We start from the raw sequence: 24,990 nt of genomic DNA, 5'->3' as shown, positions 1-24,990 counted from the left end.
AAATGGTGTCCGTCACAGGTTTCACTCACCTGCCATAGCAGGTTTTCTTATCAGGTTTCTTTCCAAGAGAGCTACTTCGACAGCGGTATCTCTGTTCATGTTCTTGAGAGGAGAAATAACATTTATCAAAGTCCAGGAGACACATGGAATTTAACCGGGAGGATTTTGCATGGACAATTAAGAATGACAGTCACATTTTGCCCTTACTTTTTGTTTAAGGATTTGACTAGTTTGTTTAATATACACCTTTTATTATAAATGAGTGTGTCAGCGTTGACTGCCGGTTTCTAGTCAGACTTCTCAGCACCAGCCCTGGGTGAGGGGCTGACTGGCTCAGCATGTGAGTAACGTCTCCAGCTTTGTCATCAGTGTTCTGGGAAGAGATACGGGGCACAGCCGAGAAGCCGTTGCCGTCCACCTCGCCTTCACTCTGCAGCTCTTGTGCAATTGCCTGCTCTGTTGTTGTTTGTTTTTCTTCTTCGGGAGCCTGGATTGGGGTGGGGGGGATTGAGAGTGGGGTAGGTAGGAAGATTGCTGTTTCTTTGCTGGTCAGACTCTCCAGGCTCTCTGCGGAGAGTCCAGGCAGGATCTGTCTGACTTGGATTGCAGTTCTCTTTTTCTGCTGAGCTGGGGTGTGGGCAGCCTAGGCCTGTGTAACTCGTGACAGGCCTCCCAAAGTGCCATGATGGCATGGATCCTCGTGGAGCTGTTGAGAACAAAAACAGGGTTAGTGACCTTTTGTTTCTTTTTGGGCATGGGTTCTGAGACTTATCTCTGGGCCTTATGTTCCTGCTAGTGACTCTAGGTCCCCCGGTCCTCTCCCCATCATCCCCTGGCTGACAAATGGTTGAACTCTCAGCTTCCTGTACTTGATCCCCAAACAGTGTAGTTCAGTAAAAGTAGTAATTAGGGCTTTTACAAATTTATTTTATTAGTGAAGAGAGTTGGTAGGTAATGGGCTGTAATTCTAACACAGCCAGTTTGGAGATTAATAAAAAATTTTAAAAGAGCAGTTTTTACCAGAGGCAGTGGGCCCGTTATTTCAAGTTCTCGGCTGAGCCGAAATCAGAGTGGGGTGGGATCCGTGGTAGACTTTGTTGCTGGGAGGATGCAAAGCCACGTTCCTTGTTGTTACAGTCTGTGCAGTGCCCATCCTTGAGGGTGTTTTACCCTGGCATTGGAAAAAAGGAAACCTTGTTTTCCAAGAACTCTGCTCTCTCTCAGCTTGATAAGCATTTAAAAATAAAAGCTGCACAATTGAAATTGGCAGTGCATCCTCATTCTTTTGTCTCTCTGTTTATTTTTTTCCCTCATCCCTCAACATGTGTGCTACAGCCCATGGTTATTACACCCTCAAGAATGATGGCCTGGAACTCAGCAAACTCGCACCAACGTCTGCCCGCCCTGCATTCTGTTGTTTGAAGCTGGCTGCGGCATCAGGGCCTAGCGCTGAGAGGCCGGGTGGATCAGCCTCCACAGCTCCATCTGTGGCACATTTCCCTTCTCTGAAGCTGCTGCTTGGAATTTTGAGCTTCTCCAGAATCCTGATTGTCAGCTCAATCTTTCTTGTTAGTTTTTGTAGTTAACTTAATTGATTTGTTTACCTCTCCATTGGAGGAGCTCAAAAAGAAAGTGCTTTGGCACTCAGCAGAGCAGTTCTGCCTCTTGAAAAGATTCTTCTGAGGTAGAGTTTTATAATACTGACCCAGAGAAGAAAAAAGATCCTATGGTTTAGGCCAGGGTGACTGTAAGTCCTGGTTTGCCCAGGGATGGATCCTATTTATGAATTACTCATAGCACACCCCTTCACTCTCGGAAGTATCCCAGTTTAGGCGATAAATTTTAGCATCATGCTAGCTTAGATGAATTCAGCAAGAAATAACAGATAACCCACTCACTACAAACTGTTAATTCTTTGTCTAGAAATGTAATGGCTTCGTGAGGCAGCGCCAAACCCTGCCCTGAGCATTGCATGCAGATTCCACTGGAGTCATGCACATGTGACCTCAGAAAGCATTGCTGTGTTTCTGGCTCTGTGAGTGTGGACTGGCCTTCCCGCTTGAGTAGGTCCCGGTTAAGCCAATTTTGAAACATGTCACTTATTTGAGCATTCCTGGTTATCACTGCCTAGTTGGTTGAGTCAGAACCTGGAGTTAGTTTGGTAGGGTGTGGTTTCAGGTTTGCAGACATCCCCGGTTGATGCCTATGAAGGGTTGGTGCCTGATGTAACTGAATAGGGTGCTACTTCAGGTTAGTAGTCCTTGTTTTCTCTTGACTGGTTGGACTGAACCTGGTATTACTGTTTACCAAAGAATATTTTTGGTTTGAAAACTGAAGGTCAGCAGTTCGCAAGTGCCGAACGTAAAGCCAACTCTGTGGTTTGTCTTGTGCCACTGGGCCAGCAGCACTGCAGTCCTGATCGATTGATCTGCAGCAATATAAAACCACGAACAGCAACTGCCAGACAAAACTCCATCTCACCCCATTTCCCTGTCCAACCTGTCTCTCTGCCCAGATCCCCTTTCTTTTTCCTCGTATGTCTGTCTCACTCTTGCTTATGTATTTCACTTTTTTGGGTCTATCTTTTTCCATCTCCCTGTCTCTTTCCATAACAGTTTTAATAATGTTTTAGTTAGTTCCAGCCTTTTCGCTGAATGGATCCCATTGGAAAATGCATTTGAAAGGAAACAGTTATACACTTCCCTTCCTTTGAAACTCTGTTGGCACCTTTTCCAGTGCAGTAAACCATACAACATGTATTTTCAAAGTTTCCAAACAGACACGCTGGCATTAAATTTATGAAAAAATATTCAGCTATATGGTAACTGTGACTTTCAGAGATGCTGATCAGATTTGAAATTGGTACTGACTTCTGGAGCTCCAGCAGGTTTTCAGATCTCTGTGGGAAATATAACCAAACTGGCTCTTGGGGAGTCTGTGATGCTTGGAGCCTTGGCTTTTGATTGGCAGGTTGGGCAGGAAGAGTTGGAGCGAGAGATGTGGATGTGGGGATCCCCAGCCACACCCAGAGGGAAACAGGGAAGGTCAGTGAGTCAGTGAAGAATATGGCATAGCCGTGTTGGGCACAGTAACAGAATGTATATTCCTTCTATGTGTCTATGCATAGAAGGTAAACTACTTTCTGTTTATTCCAGCCAAGACTGAAGGTCAAAGAACGCCCTTTTTTTTTTTTTTTTTAATTAGATGGAGTCTCGCTCTGTCTCCCAGGCTGGAGTGCCCTGGCACGATCTCGGCTCACTGCAAGCTCCACATCCCGGGTTCACGCCATTCTCCTGCCTCAGCCTCCCGAGTAGCTGAGACTACAGGCGCCCACCACCACGCCCGGCTAATTTTTTGTGTTTTTAGTAGAGACGGGGTTTCACCGTGTTAGCTAGGATGGTCTCGATCCCCTGACCTCATGATCCGCCTGCCTTGGCCTCCCAAAGTGCTGGGATTACAGGCGTGAGCCACCGCGCCTGGCCCAAATAACACCTTTTTGTTATTTTCTTTAGGGTGCCAAGGCTAAGAAGAGTTATTTATTTTCCTTCAAGTCAGTAATGATGTTGCTATTGTTAAAAATGTTTACCTCCCAAAAAATGTTCTGAAGCAAAAATATATATATGTATTAGAATTTGTCTATGTATTTTTTCTTATTTTTTATGATTGTTAACTTCTTTTTTTCTTTCACCTTTGAACTGTTGTCCAGTCTAAGACATCCTGTTATAGCATGTTCTATGTATCTTTTTTCTATTTTTTTTTTTTTAATAAAATCCAGCTCCTCCAGGAAGTTCTATGTATTTGAAAGTCCATCGGTTTGACTGAGGTTGGAATTTGGTAGTCAAGCATGGTGATCCTTCTCAAGTACCCCGGCAGTTTGTTCAGGAGATCCTTGGGAATGCTCTTGAAAGAAGCCTTTCAGAAGGGGATTTCTTCCAGATTGCTCAAGCAGAAGCTAATCTGTGTCTTGGCTTACCTAGGTGTAAAAGCTGAGCATCCTGCAGGTCATGTATCCCACTCAGTTAGTTAACAAGGGTTTGTTAAGCACTCATTATGTGTCTTTCTTCTTAGCTCTTAGCTTGCTTTTTTTTTTATTTTATTTTTTTTTAAAGCTTTTGCCTTTGTTGGCTGCAGACAGCATTTCCAGAAATGCTGTATCTGTTTTCTCTCGGTTTGCTCATCCTCTCTGCCTGTTTCTTGGGTTTCCTCTTTCTCGTGCAGCATCCAGTATATCAGCATTAACTAAAGATACTACGTTTGCCCTCCTCTTTCTCTTTCCCCATTGGTGTATTGTAAAATCTTGTCGTTTCAACTGTCATCTCTGTGCACCCTCGCAAAATTTCTTTACTGCCCTGATCTTTTTCATGAACTTTGGCCCACATTTCTAACTTTTTGTTCTATATTTTCACCTGGAATCGCAAGTTTATTCAAAATTGACTCATCCATAGCTGGTTTGCAGTAATGCACACCAGTAGTCCCAGCTACTCAAGAGGCTGAGGAAAGAAGATCGCTTGAGCCCAGAAGTTTGAGGCCAAACTGGGCAACATAATGAGACCCCATCTCTTAAAAAAAAAAAAAAAAGAAAAGAAAAGAAAACGGTTCATCCTCTCCCTCACTTGTCAAGTTCCCCCCAGGAAGCAGACTGTGAAGATGGATATTTGCATGCAGGAAGCTGGATTGGGGCAGAGGGAGAAATTGAACTGTGTTGCAGCTATAACAAAGGGCTTACCCAGTCCAGCAAGGAGCTCTGGACCTAGGCTAACCTTTCCAAGTACTCCCAAATTGGGTCAAAGGGGCTGAGTCTTTATACCCCCTCTCTCTCCCCACCAAGTAGTTGGATGTAGGTTACCTGGGAAGGTGCGGTGATTTGGGGGAAGTGCCTTTCTTTAGCTGAGATCAAGTCTCAGTGAAGGTCTCAGTGAAGGCCTCTTTCTGTACCTGTTTTCTGTGTATTGCTTGCCTCTCTGACCCTCTTCCCTGCCTGGCATATAGTAAGGGTTCAGTAAATGGTAGCTTTAATTGTTGTGTCACTTTTGTATACATATATTTTTACAAATAGAGCTATCTTGGCTGGGCACGGTGCCTCACGCCTGTAATCCCAGCACTTTGGGAGGCTAAGGCAGGTGGGTCATTAAGGTCAGGAGTTCGAGACCAGGCTGGCCAACATGGTGAAACTCCTTCTCTACTAAAAATACAAAAATTTAGATTGGGTGCAGTGGCTCATGCCTGTAATCCTAGCAGTTTGGGAGGCCAAGGTGGGCAGATCACGTGAGGCCAGGAGTTCAAGACCAGCCTGGCCAACATGGTGAAACCCCATCTCTACTAAAAATACAAAAGTTAGCCGGGGCGTGGTGACACACACCTGTAGTCCCAGCTACTCAGGAGGCTGAGGCAGGAGAATCGCTTGAACCTGGGAGGTGGAGGTTGCAGAGCCGAGATCGTGCTACTGCACTCTGGCCTGGGCAACAGAGCAAGACTCCACCTCAAAAAAAAAATTTTTAGCTGGGCATGGTGGCGTGCACGTGTAATCCCAGCTACTTGGGAGGCTGATCTCTTAAACCCGGGAGACAGAGGTTGCAGTGAGCTGAGATGGCACCATTGCACTCCAGCCTAGGCAGTAGAGGGGAGACTCCATCTCAATACAAAACCAGAAAACAAATAGAGCTGTCTTACATCTTACTCTCTTGTTTTGTTTTGTTTTTTTGAGACAAGGTTTCCCTCTGTCATCCAGGTTGGAATGCAGTGGTGTGATCTCGGCTCACTGCAAGCTCCTCCTCCTGGGCTTAACCCATCCTCCTACCTCACCTCCCCAGTATCTGGGACCACAGACACATGCTACCATGCCCAGCTAATTTTGATGGAGTCTCACTTTGTTGCCCAGGCTGGTCTTGAATTCCTGAGCTCAGGCAACCCACCCACTTCAGCCTCCCAAAGTGCTGGGGTTACAGGCATGAGCCACCGCACCTGGACATGTTACGCTTTTTAACGGCTATCTATCCCACGATACGTGTGTACCATAATTTTAGTGGTTTTATATTCATGTTTGCAACCTTTTTCTGTCCAAACTATATCAACAGTGAGTTTCATCATTCACGTCATTTCATGCCTCTTTAAACTTCTTAAGAGATTTTTCACTTTCTTCTTTGATTTATAGTTGATAGCATAAGCAAGTCCTGTTAGACTTCAGCTCCTTGAAGGTCCAGTTTATGTCTGATTCATCTTCAAAAACTAAGTGCCCAGCACAGATCCTTACTTGTAGTAGCCACTTGGTGAATGCTGACTGTGTGAATATAAAGAAACGAATTGGTTCAGCACCATGTGAAGTACCGTTCAGATCAGCTTCAACACCCAGGCGCTGCAGTAAGCACTTCAGATTTGGTGGGGTCTGCGCTGTGGACCCCTCCCTGTTGGGATTTCTAGGCTAGTGGGGCAGCTTGGTGAATTGTAAATCCTGTACGAGGACAGCTGTGAGCCCACATACCTGGTGAGTGTTACAGTATTTCTACAGGTAGAAATACTGCCAGAATCCAGAGGAGGAGGCCTGTAGTACAGGTCTGATAACATGCTGGATCTTGAAGGAACGACTTAGGCAAGGGAGAGGAAAGACGTAAACTGTGGAGAGTGGGGGTAGGAGAATGGCCATTCAGGAGTGTGGAGGCAGGTTTGCTATTTTGTCTCTTGACTGTGGTCATTCACCATCTTTTGATGTGGGACCCTTTATTTATTTATTTATTTTAGAGAGACACGGTCTCCCTCTGTCGCCCAGGCTGGAGTGCGGTGGCACGAACATTGCTCACTGCAGCCTCAAACTCCTGGGCTTAAGCCATCCTCCCACCTCGACCTCCCAAAGTGCTTGGATTACAGGCATGAGCCACCGCACCCGGCAAGTGTGGGGCCCTTTTAAAGAAGCAAGGCAGTGGTCTATAAATAAACCTGTTAGGTCTTTTGAGCCAGGCAGAAGCAGGTCAGTTCTATCCTCTAAATGGAGGAAGTCTCACCAAGAAAATAAAGTTGAACTGGTGCTTTAAAAACTGTCTGTTTGGCAGGGGGTTGCTAATCCCACATTTATGGAGCTTTGTTCTCGCTACCAGTGTTAAAATATAAATGTAGCTTTTAAATCCCCTTGCTTTATAGCATACTGTTATACTTTTTGTTGTAGAAATATTCCAAAAATGTGCCTAAATTAAATTTTACAATCTAGACAATTCCCCCTTTATATCCATACATTTGTGTTTATATATGTATATATTTAATTATAGATATTTTAATATATCATTGATCTTTTTAAAACAATCTTTTCTAGTGTATGTCACTTTCTCATTTATCTAGAGTTTTTCTTTAGGACTTTAGAGTTCTTCATTCCTCATTCTGGATGGATCGTTCATGATCAGCTGTAAAGCATTTTTGCATTTGGGTTTCTCTGACCCTTAGTCAGAGGTGTCATGTACAGAATGTTGACTAAACAACTGCATTAGATAGCAGGTATCCCTCTATTTAAAGAAACCCATCATGGATAATTTTGAAATAAAACTGATCATTTTCTAATTTAGTGGGGTTTTTTGTTTGTTGTGTTTTGTTTTTTTGAGTCACAGTCTTGCTCTGTTGCCCAGGTTGGAGTGCAGTGGCACCATCTCGGCCTCGGCTCACTGCTTCCTGAGTTCAAGTGATTCTCATGCCTCAGTGTCCTGAGTAGCTAGGATTATAGGCATGTACCACCATGCCTGCTATTTTTTTTTTTTTTTTTTTTTTTGGATTTTTAGTAGAGACAAGATTTCACCATGTTGGCCAGCATGGTCTTGAACTGCTGGCCTCAAGTGATCTGCCTGCCCCGGCTTCCCAAAGTGCTGGGATTATAGGCATGAGCCACCGTGCCTGACCTATTGTTATTTTAATTTAGTTTTATAGATCTTTTTAAAAAATATTTTACTTTCATCTTTATTTGTTTTATTATTATCATTATCGTTATTATTATTATTATTTGAGAAGGTGTCTCACTCTGTTGCCCAGGCTGGAGTGTACTGGCACAGTTTCAGTTCACTGTGACCTCCGCCTTCAGGGTTCAAGCAATTCTCCTGCCTCAGCCTTCCAAGTAGCTGGGATTACAGGCATGCACCACCACATCCAGCTAATTTTTGTACTTGTAGTAGAGAGGGGGTTTCACCATGTTGGTCAGGCTGGCCTCTGGTCTTGAACTCCTGACCTCAGGCAATCCGCCTGCCTTGGCCTCCTAAAGTGCTGTGATTACAGGCATGAGCCACTGCTCCCCGCCAAATTTTATTATTTTTTTTAGAGACAAGATCTTGCTTTGTTGCCCAGGCCAGAGTGCAGTGGTGTGATTATAGCTCACCGCAGCCTTGAACTCCTGGGTTCAAGTGATCCTCCTACCTCAGCCTCGTGAGTAGCTGGAACTACAGGAGCATGCCACCTTGCCCAACTAATTTTATTTATTTATTTTTTTTGTAGAGATGGGGTCTCACTATGTTGCCCAGGCTGGACTCAAGTGATTCTCCAGCCTCGGCCTCCCAAAGTGCTGGGGTTAATAGGCATGAGCCACTGCATCTGGCCTATAGAGCTTCTTAAAACACCATGTATCTATGAATATGTAACTTATTCCTATATATGGGTTTTGGAAAAATATTTTTAGAATTTTATATATATATGTATTTTGTTTCACCATATAGATAACTTTAGGATACTATTTTTGGGGTATCTTTTAACAGCATGTGATAAGAGGCTGTGTGTTATAAAAAATATTTTCAGGCTGGGTGCAATTGCTCACGCCTATGATCCCAGCACTTTGGGAGGCCAAGGCGGGTGGATCAGTTGAGGTCAGGAGTTTGAGACCAGCCTGGCCAACATGGTTAAATGCCACCTCTACTAAAAATATAAAAATTAGCCAGACATGGTGGCACACATCTGTAGTCCCAGCTACTCAAGAGGCTGAGGCACGGGAATTGCTTGAGCTCGGGAGGCAGAGGTTGCAGTGAGCTGAGATTGCGGCACTGTACTGCAACCTGGGTGACAGAGCTAGCATCTGTCTGGGAAGAAAAAAAATATATATACACATATATATTTATCTATATATCTGTAAGGTTATTGTTCACTTTTTTCATATACTATCTCTTGCATAGAGTCCATGCTTTAAAAAGTTATTTTAGAACTCAGTGCTGAGAAAAAGGAGTTGTTTTTCCTGAAGAATTGATATACTTATTCCTTTCTAATAATGAGAACTATACAGTTATTGGTGTTTCCTCTTTTGCTTTGCCTGACAGGAAATTTTAAGTCAAATTTTAAGTCCGTTTATGGTAGGCTGTTAATCCATGTGATTGACATTTTTACCTTTTTCTTGGTCTTGATTCTCTAATCTACTTTAATGTTATCTCATTTTATGTGATTTTGCTGTAAGTTGTCACAAATCTTTTGTGAATTGTGGTATAAAAGAGTAAATATAAAAAATTTTAATCTAGTTTAAAATTAGATACAGGCCAGGCGTGGTGGCTCACGCCTGTAATCCCAGCAATTTGGGAGTAATTGCTGTAATCCCAGCAAGATGGACGGATCACTTGAGGTCAGGGGTTCGAGACCAGGCTGGCCAACATGGTGAAACTCAATTTCTACTAAAAATACAAAAATTAGCCAGACATGGTGGTGAGCACCTGTAATCCCAGCTACTTGGGAGGCTGATGCAGGAGAATCGCTTGATCCTGGGACGCGGAGGTTGCAGTGAGCTGAGATCGCGCCATTGCACTCCAGCCTGGGTGACAAAGCGAGACTCAGTCTCAGAAAAAAAACCAAAAACTAGATACATACAGGTTTCAAACAATGTATATTGGTTTCGGTAAGTGTATTGACAAATTGACCAGTCCAGCAACTGAGTACAAATTTGGAAGGGCTATGTTACTATTAAGGCAGAGTTTTACTCTGTTGCCCAGGCTGGAGTGTAGTGGCATGATCTCAGCTCACTGCAACTTTTGCCTCCCAGGCTGAAGCGATCTTCCTTCCTAAGCCTCCTGATTAGCTGGGGTTATAGGCACGTGCCACTACGTCTGGCTCATTTTTGTATTTTTAATAGAGGTGAGGTTTTGCCACGTTGCCTAGGCTGGCCAGGAACTCCTGAGCTTAAGTGATTCGCCTACCTCGCATCCCAAAGTGTTGGAATTATAGGCGTGAGCCACCATGCCCAGCTGGAAGCATTATTATTAAAAGGTATGTCGATTCCACAGCTTCTAGGTCAGGAGACTAGCTGGCACCTTAGCACATTTCTAGTCACCTTCATTCATTGCTGCTTTCTCACTTCCTTCCTTGGCATAACTGCTTTATCTAGCTTATTATTCTCCTGACCTCTACTTTAAAACTAGATGCACCACAGTGGGTGGGGTTGGATGAAGTCATTACGTTCGCAGTTTGGTTTGGACATTGATCATGGATTCTGAGGCCTTGAGGAACCATTTTGGGATGAGTTTCTGGAGCAGAGTCAAATGAATGTGCAGATCTGGATATTCACAAGGTAACCACCAAAAAATTGTGCCTTATCATTGGTCTTATTTTTCAGTACTGACCCCTCAAAGTTTGTTTGATGACTCTAATCTTTACATTCTGGAAGCTTCCTGAAAAAGCTAACTTCTCAGAAGGCCTCCAAGAGGTCCTTTTTATTCTAGGTACCTTTCTGTCTCACCTATCTCGGAATTGTTTTATTTTTGGCGTTGTTTACAAACACTGTCAGACTTTTAAAAATCCTTAGCTGGGCATGGTGGCACATGCCTGTGGTCCCAGTTACTTCAGAGGCTGAGGTGGGAGGATTGCTTGAGCCTGAGAGGTCAAGGCTGTGGTGAGCTATGACCATGCCACTCAACTCCAGCCTGGGCAACAGAGCAAGACCCCATCTCTTAAAAAAAATCGTTCAGGAAGCCACAGAATGAAAAGAAATTGAGTTAATTTGTAAAAATGGAAGCAGAACACTTCCCTGCCCCTCTGCCTGCCCTGTCAATGGAGTTTCTCTGAATCAGGGTGTCTGCAGGCATTATCCCTCCCTAATTTTTACTTCTGGCTCAAAGTGCTCCTGAAGCTTCACGCCAGCAGAGGTGGGTTTCAAGGTGTGTGTCTGAATCAGCAGCCAAATCTCTCCTTGCTTTATTAAAAGTGATATAGCTATATTTCTCCCTCCTGACTGTTAACAGGAAAACTTCCTTCTAGATTGGCTAATGGGTATGCCTCTTAGGAAGCCTCTTTCATATCACTTCTCCTCCACAACCTTAAATAACTTTTGACACAGGACACCTCATATCTGCTGTATGGGATTCCATAGGGACTACCTGTCTTGTTTAATTAAAGACCTGCCATGCTTTTCTACTCTTCCTTTGCTTTTCCTCAAATACTGGGAGAGAGGCAAGCTTCCCAAAACGTCTGGCAAGCAGTGTAGAAGCAGAAACTCTGTCCTGCAAGATCTGCTTGTAACTCTTCCAAATGAGATGCTGGAATGGCAGGCCCTCGTTCTCCTGGGCCCCATTACTAAGGGACTCGTCCAGTGCCAGCATGCTATTCTGCTGGCAGCAGCTCTGTCCTGCCCAAGAGGGGATGTGTATTGAATAACTCTGGGCTCAGACAGTAACCTGTAAGTAACAAAAATATCAATCCAGAGACACAACTAAGGTGGAAATGGCCAAAGTGTGTTTTGACTGGCAACTTACTTATTTATTTATTTTCCAGGAAATCTATTGGAGTACCATTTCTGAAACTGCATGGGTATTTCCTGGAACAAGGGAAGCACCCATTTAGAAGTGTTTTCATTTTTTCTTGTAGAGAGTAGATGGTTTGCTGTCTTTCTTGCCAAGATGTATTGATAGAGCCCCCAGGACATTTCTTGGCCCTGGAGTCCTATATAAAGAAGAAGGGAAAGCCAGGGTGTCCTCTGGAGGGGGCCTAGCACTTCTGGAGATCATTGTCTCACCTGCAGAAGGCAGCAGCTGTGTGGTAATGCTGTACAGAGCTTTGGAATCAACCTGATGGAGGGCGAGAATTCTCTACTCAGCCACTTGCCAGCTGTGTGACCTTGATGACGAAAGTTTACTTACCGTCTCTGAGGTTGAGTTTCTTTGTTCATAAAGCAGGTTATCAGTGCCAATTCTCAGGGGTTTTCTGAGTGTTAGATAAAATACGCAAAACACCTTGTCCAAGGCTTTGTTACCTACTGGGTACTCATGTATGTCTACTTTTCTTTATCAAATTAGCCTCCAGTTATGAACTCTTAACAGTTCAAGTGAAGGGTCAGACTAATGTGTTTCTAAATGTCATTACTCTATTTTTTTTTTTCCTTTTTCAGACACAGTCTTGCTCTATCACCCAGGCTGGAAAGCAGTGATATGTTCTTAGTTCACTGTAGCCTTGAACTTCCGGGCTCAAGTGATCTTCCTGCCTTAGCCTCCTAAATAGCTGAGACTATAGGCACCTGCCACCACTGCAGGCTAATTTTTTATTTTTTTCTGCTAGAGGTAGGGTCTCACTGTGTTGCTCAGGCTGGTCTCAAACTCTTGGGCTCATGTGATCCTCTCCTCTTGGCTTCCCAAAGTGCTAGGATTACAGGTGTGAGTCTGTTTTTGACATTCGAATGATTAAGTAGTTTATTCCTTTTTATTGTTGAATAGTCCTCACTGTGTGGATATACCACAATTTATTTATCCATTCACTTGTTGATGGATATTTGGTGTTTTCTCCTCCAGTTTTTAACCTTCATGAGTAAAACTGCTATGAACATTCTTTGCGTGCATGTATGCTTTCATTTTTAGGGAGTAAATACCTGTGAGTGATATAGCTGGGTCGTTTGGTACTTAACTTTTTTTTTTCCTTTGAGATGGAGTCTCGCTCTCTTGCCCCAGCTGGAGTGCAGCGGCATGATCTCAGCTCACTACAACCTCCACCTTCTGGGTTCAAGCGATTCTCCTGCCTCAGCCTCCCAAGTAGCTGGGATTACAGGCACCTGCCACCATGCCCGGCTGATTTTTGTATTTTTAGTAGAGATGGGGTTTCACCATGTTTGCCAGGCTAGTCTCGAACTCCTGGCCTCAAGTGATCCACCCACCTTGGCCTCCCAAAGTGCTGAGATTACAGCCATGAGCCACCGCACCCAGCCTGGTGTTTAACTTTTTAAGATACTGCCAAAGTGGTTATATTATTTAACTTTTTTTTTTTTTTTTGAATCAAGTCTCACTTTGTCACCCAGGCTGTAGTGCAGTGGCGTGGTCTCGGCTCACTACAACCTCCACCTCCCAGGTTCAAGCTATTCTCCTGCGTAGTTGGCATTACAGTGCCTGCCACCACGCCCAATATTTTTTGTGTTTTTAATAGAGATGGGGTTTCACCATGTTGATCAGGCCAGTCTCGAACTCCTGACCGCAAGCCATCCACACACCTCAGCCTTCTAAAGTGCTGGGGTTACAGGTGTGAGTCACTGTGCCCCGGTCTCATTTAACATTGTTAAAGCAGTGTGTGAGAATTTCAGTTACTTGATATCCTCTCCAATGCTTGTTATTGTTCATCCATCTGTTTTATTATTGCCATGCTGTTGGGTATGGAGTTGTATGTGTGATTTTGATCTGCATTTCCCTAATGATTAGTAATGTTGAGCATCTTTTCATGTACCTACTTGCCATCCATATATCTTCTTTGCCCAATTTTTTATTTATTTTGCTGAGTTGAAAGAGTTCTTTATATACCTCAGTTCTGAGTCCTTTGTCAGATGTATCTTTTACAATTATTTTCTCCCAGTGAGATAATTTTCTGTAGCTTTCCTTTTCATTTTGTCTTTTGAAAAGCAAACATGTTTGATTCTGATAAAATCACCTACTTTTTAGAAAATGTTTGATTTGTAATTACAGATACATTGGCAAAGGGGCTATTTATCAGAGTATTGCAGTTGATGCTGCCAATTAAAAAATAAATAATGGGCCGGGTGTGGTGGTTCACACCTGTAATCCCAGCACTTTGGGAGTTCAAGGCCGGAGGATCACTTGAGTTCAGGAATTTGAGACCAGGAGGTTGGGAGGCCGAGGTGGGAGGATTGCTTGAACCTGGAAAGTTGAGGCTACAGTGAGCTATGATTGCGCCACTGCACTCCACCCTGGGCAACAGAGCGAGAGCCTGTCTCATTCATAAATAAATAAAATTAAATTAAATTGTGTGTATGTGTGTCTGTTTGTATATATCTAGGGCTAGGTGCAGTGGCTCATGCCTCTAATTCTTGCACTTTGGGAGGCTGAGACAGGAGGATCACTTGAGGCCAGGAGTTTGAGACCAGCTTGGTCAACAAAACAAGACCCTGTCTCTACAAAAAGTTTTTTTTTTTTTTCTGTCGTGGGTTTGGGGGAAGGGGAGGGATAGCATTAGGAGATACACCCAATGTAAATGACGAGTTGATGGGTGCAGCACACCAACATGGCACATGTATACATATGTGACAAACCTGCACGTTGTGCACATGTACCCTGGAACTTAGAGTATAATTAAAAAAAATAAGGAATACAGGGCTTAAATTCACGTTTTTAAAAAAGGTATATGCAGGTTGAATCCCTTTTAGTCTCCACTTTTCAGCAAAGTTTACCTAAAATAAAATTCATTTACTGCTGGCACTTAAAAAAAACAAAAAGTTTTTTTTGTCCAGGCACGGTGGCTCACTCCTGTAATCCCAACAGTTTGGGAGGTCGAGGTGGGTGGATCACTTGAGGTCAGGAGTTCAAGACCAGCCTAGCCAACATAGCGAAACCCATCTCTAATAAAAATACAAAAAGTAGCTGGGTGTGGTGGTGGGCACTTGTAATTCCAGCTACTCGGGAGGCTGAGGCAGGAGAATCGCTTGAACCCGGGAGGCAGAGGTTACAGTGAGCTAAGATTGTACCACTACACTCCAGCCTGGGTGACAGAGTGAGACTCCATCTCAAAACAAACAAAAAAAACAAACCTTTGTTTTTTGAGACAGAATCGTGCTCTCTTACCCAAGCTGGAGTGCGGTGGCACAATCTCAGTTCACTGCAACCCCGCCTCCCGGGTTCAAGCGATTCTCCTGCCTCAGCCTCCCAAGTAGCTGGGACTACAGGCACACGCCACCACACCCGGCTAATTTTTGTATTTTTTGTAGAGATGGGGTTTCGCCACGGTGGCCCACAGGCTGGTCTCGAATTCCTGGCCTCAAGTGATCATCCGCCTCAGCCTCTCAAAGCGCTGGGATTACAGGTGTGAGCCACTGTGCCTGGCCTACAAAAATATTTTTTTAAATCAAAATTAAATCTTTTTTATTTTTATTTATTTATTTATTTATTTATTTTTATTTATTTTTTTGAGACAGGGTCTTGGTCTGTCACCCAGGCTGGAGTGCAGTGACATAATCACTCCACAATACTGCAGCCTCAACCTCCTGGGTCTCACACTGTATTGCCTAGGCTGGTCTCGAATTCCTGGGCTCAAGTGATGCTCCCACCTCAGCCTCCCAAAGTGCTGGGATTATAAGCATGAGCCACCATGCCTGGCCAAAAATAAATACCTTAATATCCATCTGATTGATAATCCAAAGCAACACCAAAAATGCCTAAGTAGTTTCCTTTATGAAGAAAACAGTACTCAGACTCATGTTTGAAGCCGCTTTTTCCTCTGACTGCCCTTTCTTGAAGAATGTGCATACCATTGGTTTGAGATGTGTACCTTATTTTTGAGAAGCAAGAACATTTTTTAACTGCTCGCTCAGTTTCTGCAATTCATTCGTCATCTTTCTTCACTTTCTCATCACCTTCATCTTGTGCTGCTTGCTGTGGAATTTACTGATCCAGTGATTCACGGCCTTGACGATGACGTTCTCTTGCTATACTCCTTATTCTTTAGACAGAAGTTCTGTCTTCAGTGAACTTTTCTTTTTTTTTTTTTTTTTTTTTTTTAATTTTATTTTATTTTCCTTCTGGTTGCCCCTGACAGTTTCTTGTGTAAGCTGGTGAGGAGCCGCAACTGGGCATCTCCACCAGCTCAGGCCAGGCAGCAGAAGATGAGAACAAGGGGCTCCAGCATCTGGACAGGGTAATCAGCTACTGTTAATTGAGAAAGTATCCCCCAAGTGACTGAGTAACCCTTTTCTGTGTAAAACTTTCTGGAATGCTGTGTCAGATCTTCTTCGGTTTTACTTGGGTTTACTTTTTTTGTTGTGTTTACTTGTTTAAAGCTTTTTATTTTGAAATAATTATAGATTCACAGGAAGTTGTTTTAAAAATGTACAGAGAGGTCTTATGCACCCTTCACCCGTCCTTCCCCATTTTTCATGTCTTGCATAGCTTTAGTATATATCAACATCGTGAAACTGACATTGGTATCCACTGACTTTAATCAGATTTCACAAGTTATCTTGCACTTGTGTGCGTGTGTGTGTGGGGTTCTGTGCAATTTTATCACACATGTAGCTTCATGTAACTATTACTATAATCAAGATGCAGAACTTTCCCAACACTCAAAGCTCCTTCCTGCTCTATGCTTTAGAACCATCCCTACCGCCTTTCAGCCCCCAATCCTAACCCCTGGCAACCACTAATCTGTTTTCCATCTCTATAAATATATTATTTCAAGAATATTATATAGATGGGATTGTACAGTATATAACCTTTTGAAGCTGGCTTTTCACTAAGCGTAATTTCCTGGAGTCTGTCCAACTCACTGCACGTATTGGTTGTTCATTCCTTTTTATTGCTGAGTAGTATTCCCTGTATTCCCTGGTACGGATATTCCACAGTTGTTTAACCATTCACCTGTGGAAAGACATTTGGGTTGTTTCTAGTTTGGGGCCATTATGAATAAAGCTGCTATGAACATTTATATACTGGTTTTTTTTCTAAACGTAAGTTTTCATTTCTTCAGGATAAAGCCCCAGAGTTCAATTGCTGGATCATATCATAAGTGCATTTTTAGTTTTAGAAGAAACTGCCAAACTATTTTCCAGAGCAGCTATACCATTTTACATTCCATCAGCAACGTACATGTGATCCAATTTCCCAGCATCCTTACCAATATTTGGTGGTGGTACTGTTTTTTATTTTAGCCATTCTGATAGATATGTAATGAGATCTCACTGTAGTTTTATTTTCCATTTCCCTAATGGCTAATTATATTGAACATCTTTGCTTGTGCTTATTTTCTATTTGTATATCCTCTTTGATGAAATATCTGGTTTGTCTTTTTTTTTGCCCATTTTCTAAATGTATTGTTGTTTTCTTACTGTTAAGTTTTGAGAGGTTTTTTGTTTTTTGGTTTGTGTTTATTTTTCTTTATGTGTTGTTTTTTTTGAGACAGGGTCTCTGTCACCCAGGCTGGAGTGCAGCGGCACTGTCACGGGTCACTGCAGCCTTGACCTCCCAGGCTCAAGTGATCCTCCCACTTCTGCCTCCCAAGTAGCTGGGACTACAGGCAAATGTTACCACATCCAGCTAATTAAATTTTTTTTTTTTTAGAGACACAGTCTTGCTATGTTGCCAGGGCTGGTCTCAGACTCCTGGGCTCAAGCAATTCTCCCACCTTGGCCTCCCAGCGTGCTGGAATTATAGGCGTGAGCCACCGCGCCTGGCCAGGTTTTAAGAGTTTTATATGTAATCTGGTTACTAGTTCTTCGGCAGATATGTGGTTTACAAACAGATTTTCCTAGCCTATCATTTGCCTTTTCATCTTTTTACAGGGTCTTTTGCAGTGCAAAAGTTTTTAATTTTTATGAAATCCAGTATATCAGTTTTTCCTTTTATGGATTGTACTTTTGGCATTAAGTCTTAGAACTCTTAGTCCTAGGTCCTGAAGATTTTCTTCCATTTTTTTCTAAGAGTTTTATGGTCCTATGTTTTATATATAAGTCTTCGATCTATTATGAGATAATTTTTGTATAAGTGTGAAAGTTAGGTCAAGGTTTTATTGCTTTGTTTTTTTGCATACAGATGTCTAATTGCTTCAGTACCATTTGTTGAAAAGATATTCCTCCTTTTAATTTTATTTTAGAAGAGGTGGGGTCTTGCTATGTTGTTTACGTTAGTCTCAAACTCCTGATCTCAAGCAGTCCTGCCTTGGTCCCCCAGATTGCTGAGATTATAGGCATGAACCACCATGCCCGGCCCCTTTCTTCATTAACTTAACATCAGGGAGAACGATTTCTCCCGCTTTATTCTTTTTCAGAATTGTTTGAAATGTTCTACATCCTTTGCTTTTCCAGATAAGCTTTAGAATAAGCTTGTCTTTATCTACGTGAAACGTTCCTGAGATTTTGATAGCTGTTGCGTTAAACCTATAGATCTATTGTCTACATAAAACCTTCCTAAGATTTTGATAGCAATTGCGTTAAACAATTAACTGGCATCTCTACAATGCTGAGTTGCTCAGTTCATGAACATGGTAACTCTCCCCAGTTTTTAGGTTGTCTTTTATTTTCTGGGTTTTGTTTTTTTGAGACAGAGTTTGTCACCCAGGCTGAAGCGCAATGACGCATTCTCGGCTCACTGCAACCTCCGCCTCCTGGGTTCAAGTGATTCCCCTGCTCCTGCCTCAGCCTCCCGAGTAGCTGGGATTACAGGCACGCGCCGCCACGCCCAGCTAATTTTTGTATTTTTAGTAGAAACAGGGTTTCACCATGTTGGCCAGGCTGGTCTCGAACTCCTGATCTCAGGTGATCTGCCCGCTTCAGCTTCCTGAAGTGCTGGGTTTACAGGCGTTGAGTCACCATGCCTGGCTTTGTCTTTGATTTTCATCAGCATTTTCAGATTTTTAGCATAGCGTTTCCGTACGTTCTGTTAGACTTATACCTGAATATTTCATTTTCTTTGTCACTATTGTAAACGATGGCATGTTTTTCATTTTGGCTTCCACACAGTCATCATCTCTGAGCTCTTTGTGCAGCACTGTGGTTGGAGTAGTCTGAGCTTTTCATGTTCATAGCAAAGGAGAGAGGAGCAGTGGGAGTGTGACACTTGAGTCACGGGCGTGTGAAAATCAGATATGCAAACAATGTGGGCATGAGAGCAGACAGAACTGGATTCAGATCCCAGCTCTGGCACTTTCTAGCCTTGTGTTATTGGGCAGGTCATTTAGTCTCTCTGAGCCTGTTTCCTCAAATGTCAAAAAGGAGAATAATACTCAGGCAATCCTTTTGTAAAGCTTTGAGATAATATATATAAATATTGTTTGCCTAACATAGGTCTCAAAATGTCTTAGTTATTATGTCTGGCCACAGTGGAATCATGTCATTCATGGTTAGATCCAAAGTGAGAGAGGCAAGTGTGCCTACTATTATGAGCAGCAAATGTTTCTTGAACCTCTCTATGGTGCTGATTTCCAAGGATGTGAAGTCTTGACATAGCTCTTGCCCTCAAGGGGCTTATAATTCTGTTGAGGAAACCTACTGTATGAATAACAATTCCAGGACAAGGTATTGCTTGTTAAGTTCCAAATAGGTGGGCAGACAGTGTGAGTGCATCAAAGAACCTTCTCTGGGTTTTGTTTGCCCTTTTGTACCCTGTCCATTGAGGTGGCTTCTGGATGTTGTTGATGAGAGAATGTGTGGAGGTGGGAGAGGGTGTGTACAGATTTAGGGGAAGGGTGTCATGTGGGAATATGTAATTAATTTTTATACTTTCCCCAGTAAACCATCGACCCTTTTTATGATGTCATGAGGGATTCCTTAATTTTGCAGCTGCTTCCTGATTACGTCAGAGAGGAGCCTGTCACCCCACAGCCTGGAGCTGTACTCGTACAAGAATTGGAAACAAATGAAGTGCCGAATATCTAATGGCTTCCACAGGGAGCACCAGTTCAGACTTCCCAGGCCGCCTCTTGCTAGGTCTTCCTCAAGTATTTCTGACCCCCTGAAGTGTCTTTGTTCTGGAAAGACAGGACTTGGCCCAGAGCCAAGAGGGAGGGAGCCTGGGGACTCCTTGACACATACCTCTCTCCCTCCAGGTGTTTTGCAGTCCTGAGTTTCTTCCCCCTTACTTGGATCTTGTTTGGTGAGTTGTTACTCTTCTTGAGTTTTCAGGATCCTCTGGAACCTGCCGAGAATACACGTGAGAGTCTTTGACCTGCTCCAGCAGTCTTCACCCCTACGTACCCCCTCAACAGCATTATCTCCAGCCTCTTTTGATGTTTCTTTCTTTTTTTTTTTGTTTTGTTTTGTTTTCTTTTCTTTTGGTAGAGACAGGGTCTTACTCTGTTGCTCAGGCTGGTCTTGAACTACTGGGCTCTCAAGCAGTCCTCCTGCCTCAGCATCCCAAAGTGCTGGGATTACAGGCGTAAGCCACCATTCCTGGCCTCTTTTGATTTTCTTTCTGCGGTAATTTTCATATCTGTGCACTGCTTTTCATTCCCTCTTCTACCTCTATTATAAGAAGATGTTACCCTTACTTGGCATTATAAACTTTATGAGTGCTTTACATGTAATTTCGCTTGCTTCAAACAAGTTCATGCTCTCTTAGCTTCCCAACTGGTCTCCCTCATTGTTACCTTTTTCCAGCTACCCTAATTAGTCCTAAATGCTTTAGCTAGATTAATCTTTATAAAATATTCACTCATTGCTTCATCCAAGAACATTGAGTGAGTGCTCCCTCACTGTTGAGTCAAGTTCATGTTCCCTGTTCTGGCATTGCAGGCCCTATACTTTGTGGTTCCAGGTAGAGCACAGCACACACAGTACTTGCGTGCCTCAAGTAGTACATGTGGTCCCCCCTGCATCCACCAACTCCATCATTGTTCATCTCTTCCAGCCCACCTTAGAAATGGTCTCTTCTGGCCGAGCATGGTGGCTCATGCCTGTAATCCCAGCACTTTGGGAGACCGAGGCAGGTGGATCACTTGAGTCCGAGAGTTCGAGACCAGCCTGACCAACATGGTGAAACTGTGCGTGCCTCTAATCCCAGCTACTTGGGAGGCTGAGGCGGAAGAATCGCTTGAACCCAGGAGGCAGAGGTTGCACTGAGCCACAGTTGTACCACTGCACCACTCCAGTCTAGACGACAGAGTGAGAATCTGTCTCAAAAATAAAGGTCTCTACCATGAAACCTTCTCTGTTACATGCTAGCTGAAATGGTTTCCTCTCCCTCTGGTGACAGAAACATCTTACTTCCATCTTCCTTATGATATGTAGTACATTGTCTTGAATTATAGTTACTTGAGTAGGTATGTATTCTTCCTGTCTTCCTTATTAGATTATCTTCTTCTCCCAGACAGGATCCTACTTTCCTTTATATCCTCCACAATTGGGCACTCAAGTGTTTTCGGAATTAATGGGAGAAGTCATTTTGTTAGAAGATTGGGATTTCCTTTGCCCCCATATTTCCCTACTTTCAGAAGAGCTTTAGAAGAAAATCCAAAGGGAACACTGACAGCGAGGGCTCCTAGGGAGGAAATTACCTTCCACCTTCTTCTGTCTTGTCTTGGTGCATTAGGCCGTTCTTGCATTGCTATAGACAAATACCTAAGACTGTATAATTTATAAAGTAAAGAGGTTTCATTGACTTACGGTTCTGCAGGTTGTACAGGAAGCATTTCGGCTTCTAGGGAGGCCTAAGGAAGGCTACAATCATGGCAGAAGGCGAAAGGGGAGCAGGCACTTTACATGGCGAAAGCAGGAGCAAAGAGTGGGGCAGTCCCACCTACTTTTCAAGGACCAGATCTTGCAAGAATTCAGCCACTACCACATAGACAGCACCCAAGCCCTGAGGGATCCACCCTGCCATCCAGACACCTCCCACCAGGCCCCATCTCCAGCAGTGGGGATTACAATTCGACGTGAGATTTGGGTGGGGACAAATATTCCACCATGTCACTTGGCTGTATCAGTTTAGGGAAATGTTATGACTTGCTTTACACTCAGTCAGCCTCTGTTTTGCCATTGTGCATGAATAATTTGCTTGGGTGTATTAGTGCCTGATTCTGCTGACTCATTCGTTCTGCTCCTCAGGGAATAAAATGATGAAAAGACATCTCTGCTTTTGCTCTGAGATTTTGTTTTTGTCTCGTTCCTATACAGCGACTGCTTCCTCTACCTCCTCTTCAGCTAGCAGCTGCCACGGGGAACTCTGTGGCTCAAGCAGCAGCAGTTGAAAGATACTCTCACTGCCCACTTCCTGTAGACAAGGAGGTTTTGGTGGGCTGCTTAGGAACTGTGCCAGCCTTGTGTCTGACTGGTAACTGACTCATGAGAAAAGCAGCCTTATGTCGGAAAGATAAGGGCCAACAAATTGCCTCCAGGTGGTGGTAGTTTGGAGGTGACTGACCATTCATTTCCTTTCTTTGGGAGGAGACAGTGGGGAGGGAATTGGTGAATAAGTGGTCTTGCCTGCGTTTTTCTCCAGCTCTTAGTGATGCAGCCAGGCAGATAGTTGGTTCTCTGGGCTGGAATGGCTCGTGGACCCCAGTGCCCTCAGAATCCCCTCTGCTGCTATCAGAGCATCAGACTTAGGTGTCATCCATCCTGTGTCTTCTCTTCATTACTCTTCTTATGCTCTTGCCAGGAAACTGGCTGTGTGCACCAAGGGAACTCTGATAGTTCCATCGCTGCCAGATTTTTCTGTGACCAACCAAACTCCATCCCACTGGTACTGGTTTCCTTCAAATCTCTCCCTGATGGCAACACTGGAATTGATCAGAAGCAGTGGTTCTGAACCACCATCCCTTGGCTCGGCTTAGAGGGCCCAGGCAGGTGGGCCTGCCTCCCATCCCCTGCTCTTCCCTCTCCGCCCCTCCTGCCTCACTCCCATTTCCTGCAGGAGGATGCTTTGCCATCCTGGAGCTGTCAGGCACAGCTTTGCTTTGGCAGCACCGTCGCACACATACTGGTGGGAGAGGGGACGTGTTTATCACTTTTCCTGGAGATTATCTGTTTAAGCACTTCTCTGACAGTTACAATAACAAGGGCAGTGTGTTGTGTTTCCCAGCAGAAGGACACTTGCTGTTGAAAGATGTATAGCACTAATTAGAAATACATAACATCCGGCCACATGGCAGCCTTCTCCCGGCCGCTCCATTTCCTGATTTCATGCAACTTTGACGACAGTTGGTTTATGTTTTCCATGAATATATTCTCAGAAAAACGAGAAAGTCTCCCTGTTACATAGGAGCAAGAAGAATATTTCTGTCCGAGCCGGTATTTGGCCATAGGAATAATAGGAGCTGTGGTCACCTGCCCACATGTGGGAAGGAGCAGAACCAAGTTCAGACCTCAGGTGACTTTCTTATTAAGAAATATTTCCGTCTGACTTCCTTAGCCAAAACCCTTACCCGAAACCCTTAAGCAAGTCTCTGCTTTTGGAAAGAAGGGGAAAGGCTGTTTCACAGTGTTAATGAGTTCCTCAGCTCCTGTCATGCTCCTGCTACCTGACACAAAGCCAGAGGAACCCAGGCGAATACCAAGGCAAACAATGCCTTTTCCTCCCCCACCCCACATCACTTGTTGGCTTGGCCCAGCCCAACACTAGGGATATATATGGGCATTCATCAGACTAGGGCCAGTTTCCTAGATCTAGCCCCAAAGTGGGTGGACTCTGGGAATCTAGATGCTGTTTTCCTACCCACTTGTGTAACGGTGAATGCTTTCAGGGAGTAGCGTCTTACGGTTTCTAGCCTGTGGAAGCCTACGTGAGGCCAAGAGCAGCCCATGAAGATGCTGTGCACTTAGTGCATGTCTCACTTGAGGCACTGGATCCAAGTTGCCGTGGATACTTGGATAAATAACAATTTTCTTTACCCTATTGAAAGGTCCTACGGTTGCAGAGACCATGTTTTATTTGTAACTGTGTGCTCCATCATACCTAGTACAGAGTCTGGAACATTCTACATGCTCAGTATGTGCTTGAGGTACTACTGAGCCATGGAGAAGGACAGGCCTTCCAGGAGGTGCTCTAGGTAACATGGCCAGTCAGAGGCCTGACCAACACTCAGACATGCTGACCCCCTTGATCGTTTGTAAAATCTCCACCTGCTTGATTACAGCAGAACAGTTACTGCTTAATACTCCGCATCAGATGGACCAGACACATAAGCAGGCAGTGTTATTTCAAGCCTTTCTTCAGGAGGGGGTTAGGGGATGGGGAGTTGAGGTGACATAACCGTCACCAAGGACAGAGCAGTCATGAAGCTGCCTTCTAGCTGCTGCCCTGGGAGGTGGCTGAGCACTTTCAGATCTACACCAAAGAGACTCCAGCTGTTGCTACCTTGCCTGGTCTCCAGACCTTATTGCAGGAGCCTTTAGAAAAGGAGCCAACCTGGAGTCCACGAAGACCGCAGATCCCATTGTTGTTAAGCAGCCATTCTCCCTCTGAGCCCTAGCCCCCACCTTGAACTCTGAGAGACAGTCTAGCTTGTGATTGCCATTTGTCATAAATACAGAACTGGGCTTGGTGAAAGAAACCTCCCCTGTCTTATCCCTGTCCAGGGTCATGGGAGTGTCTTAGTGTAGCCTGTGCTTCATAAAATGCCAGTCTCTTGGAGCCAGGACACCCCCCTCCATCCCTTCTAGCCTTCTGAGTGCAGGTAACTTCTGCTTAGTTGATGAGGAGGCACTAATGTTTACTCAGAGTATCAGCTACCAGGATGTGGCCTCCACTTGTCTTCTCCCAACTCCCTCTTTTCTGGACTTACTCCCTTCTTCCCGGCTCTGTTGCTAGTTAGAGGCAGGATGTTGTCCGGGCGTGGCAATGGCCTGGACTGAGCTGGGCGGTACTGACAGTGCTGCTGCCTATGGGGAGGGTGAAGGGGAGAAGTTGGTAACTTTTCTTGACAACTTACATATCTCCCCCTTTCCTGCTTTCCATCCTCCCCTCTTCTTGGCTCTTGCATGCTTGTTTTCTTTGTAACAGAGGTTTAGGGCCTTAACAGGACAGGAGTGAGACTGGTCTATTCTAATCACATGGATTGTTACCACTTCCTTAACTGCCTGCCACAGTTGAGCTGGAAAGTCAGAGGGTGACATCTGGGACCAGTGGGCATCTGGAAGGTTGGTGGGAA

The 24,990-nt window shown here is 44.1% G+C and overlaps 1 protein-coding gene and 1 pseudogene across 12 annotated transcripts in view, besides 2 other annotated features; one reads left to right on the top strand and one right to left on the bottom strand.

Moving 5' to 3' along the window:
* Positions 1–24,990, top strand: part of SMG6 (SMG6 nonsense mediated mRNA decay factor) — a 243,947-nt gene that overhangs the window by 88,921 nt on the left and 130,036 nt on the right. The window contains exon 11 of one of the 12 annotated variants that reach the window (XM_011523772.3): positions 19,951–21,968. The exons of the other annotated variants lie outside the window; for them this stretch is intronic. Coding sequence (XP_011522074.1) covers positions 19,951–19,967 — 17 coding nt within the window. The 3' untranslated portion in view covers positions 19,968–21,968. Of the gene's footprint in view, positions 1–19,950; positions 21,969–24,990 lie in introns of those variants that run through there. 12 annotated transcript variants of the gene reach the window in all.
* Positions 268–1,467: an enhancer, noted in NCBI's record as "BRD4-independent group 4 enhancer chr17:2116692-2117891 (GRCh37/hg19 assembly coordinates)". NCBI's record gives its function as "activates an origin of replication core promoter dependent on BRD2, P300/CBP, MED14 and CDK7 cofactors, and independent of BRD4, by STARR-seq in HCT116 cells {active_cell/tissue: HCT116}" and the evidence as "EXISTENCE:reporter gene assay evidence [ECO:0000049][PMID:35650434]".
* RN7SL624P (RNA, 7SL, cytoplasmic 624, pseudogene) lies at positions 14,826–15,103 on the bottom strand (annotated as a pseudogene).
* Positions 19,683–20,184: an enhancer, noted in NCBI's record as "NANOG-H3K27ac hESC enhancer chr17:2097975-2098476 (GRCh37/hg19 assembly coordinates)". NCBI's record gives its function as "activates a minimal SCP1, AML or CMV promoter by ChIP-STARR-seq in primed H9 embryonic stem cells {active_cell/tissue: H9 hESC(primed)}" and the evidence as "EXISTENCE:reporter gene assay evidence [ECO:0000049][PMID:30033119]".

The sequence above is a fragment of the Homo sapiens genome, chromosome 17, assembly GCF_000001405.40.
Source record: "Homo sapiens chromosome 17, GRCh38.p14 Primary Assembly".
NCBI classification, from domain to species: Eukaryota; Metazoa; Chordata; class Mammalia; order Primates; family Hominidae; genus Homo; species Homo sapiens.
Note: the sequence above shows the minus strand (reverse complement) of the source record. Positions and strands in the feature narration are given on the sequence as shown.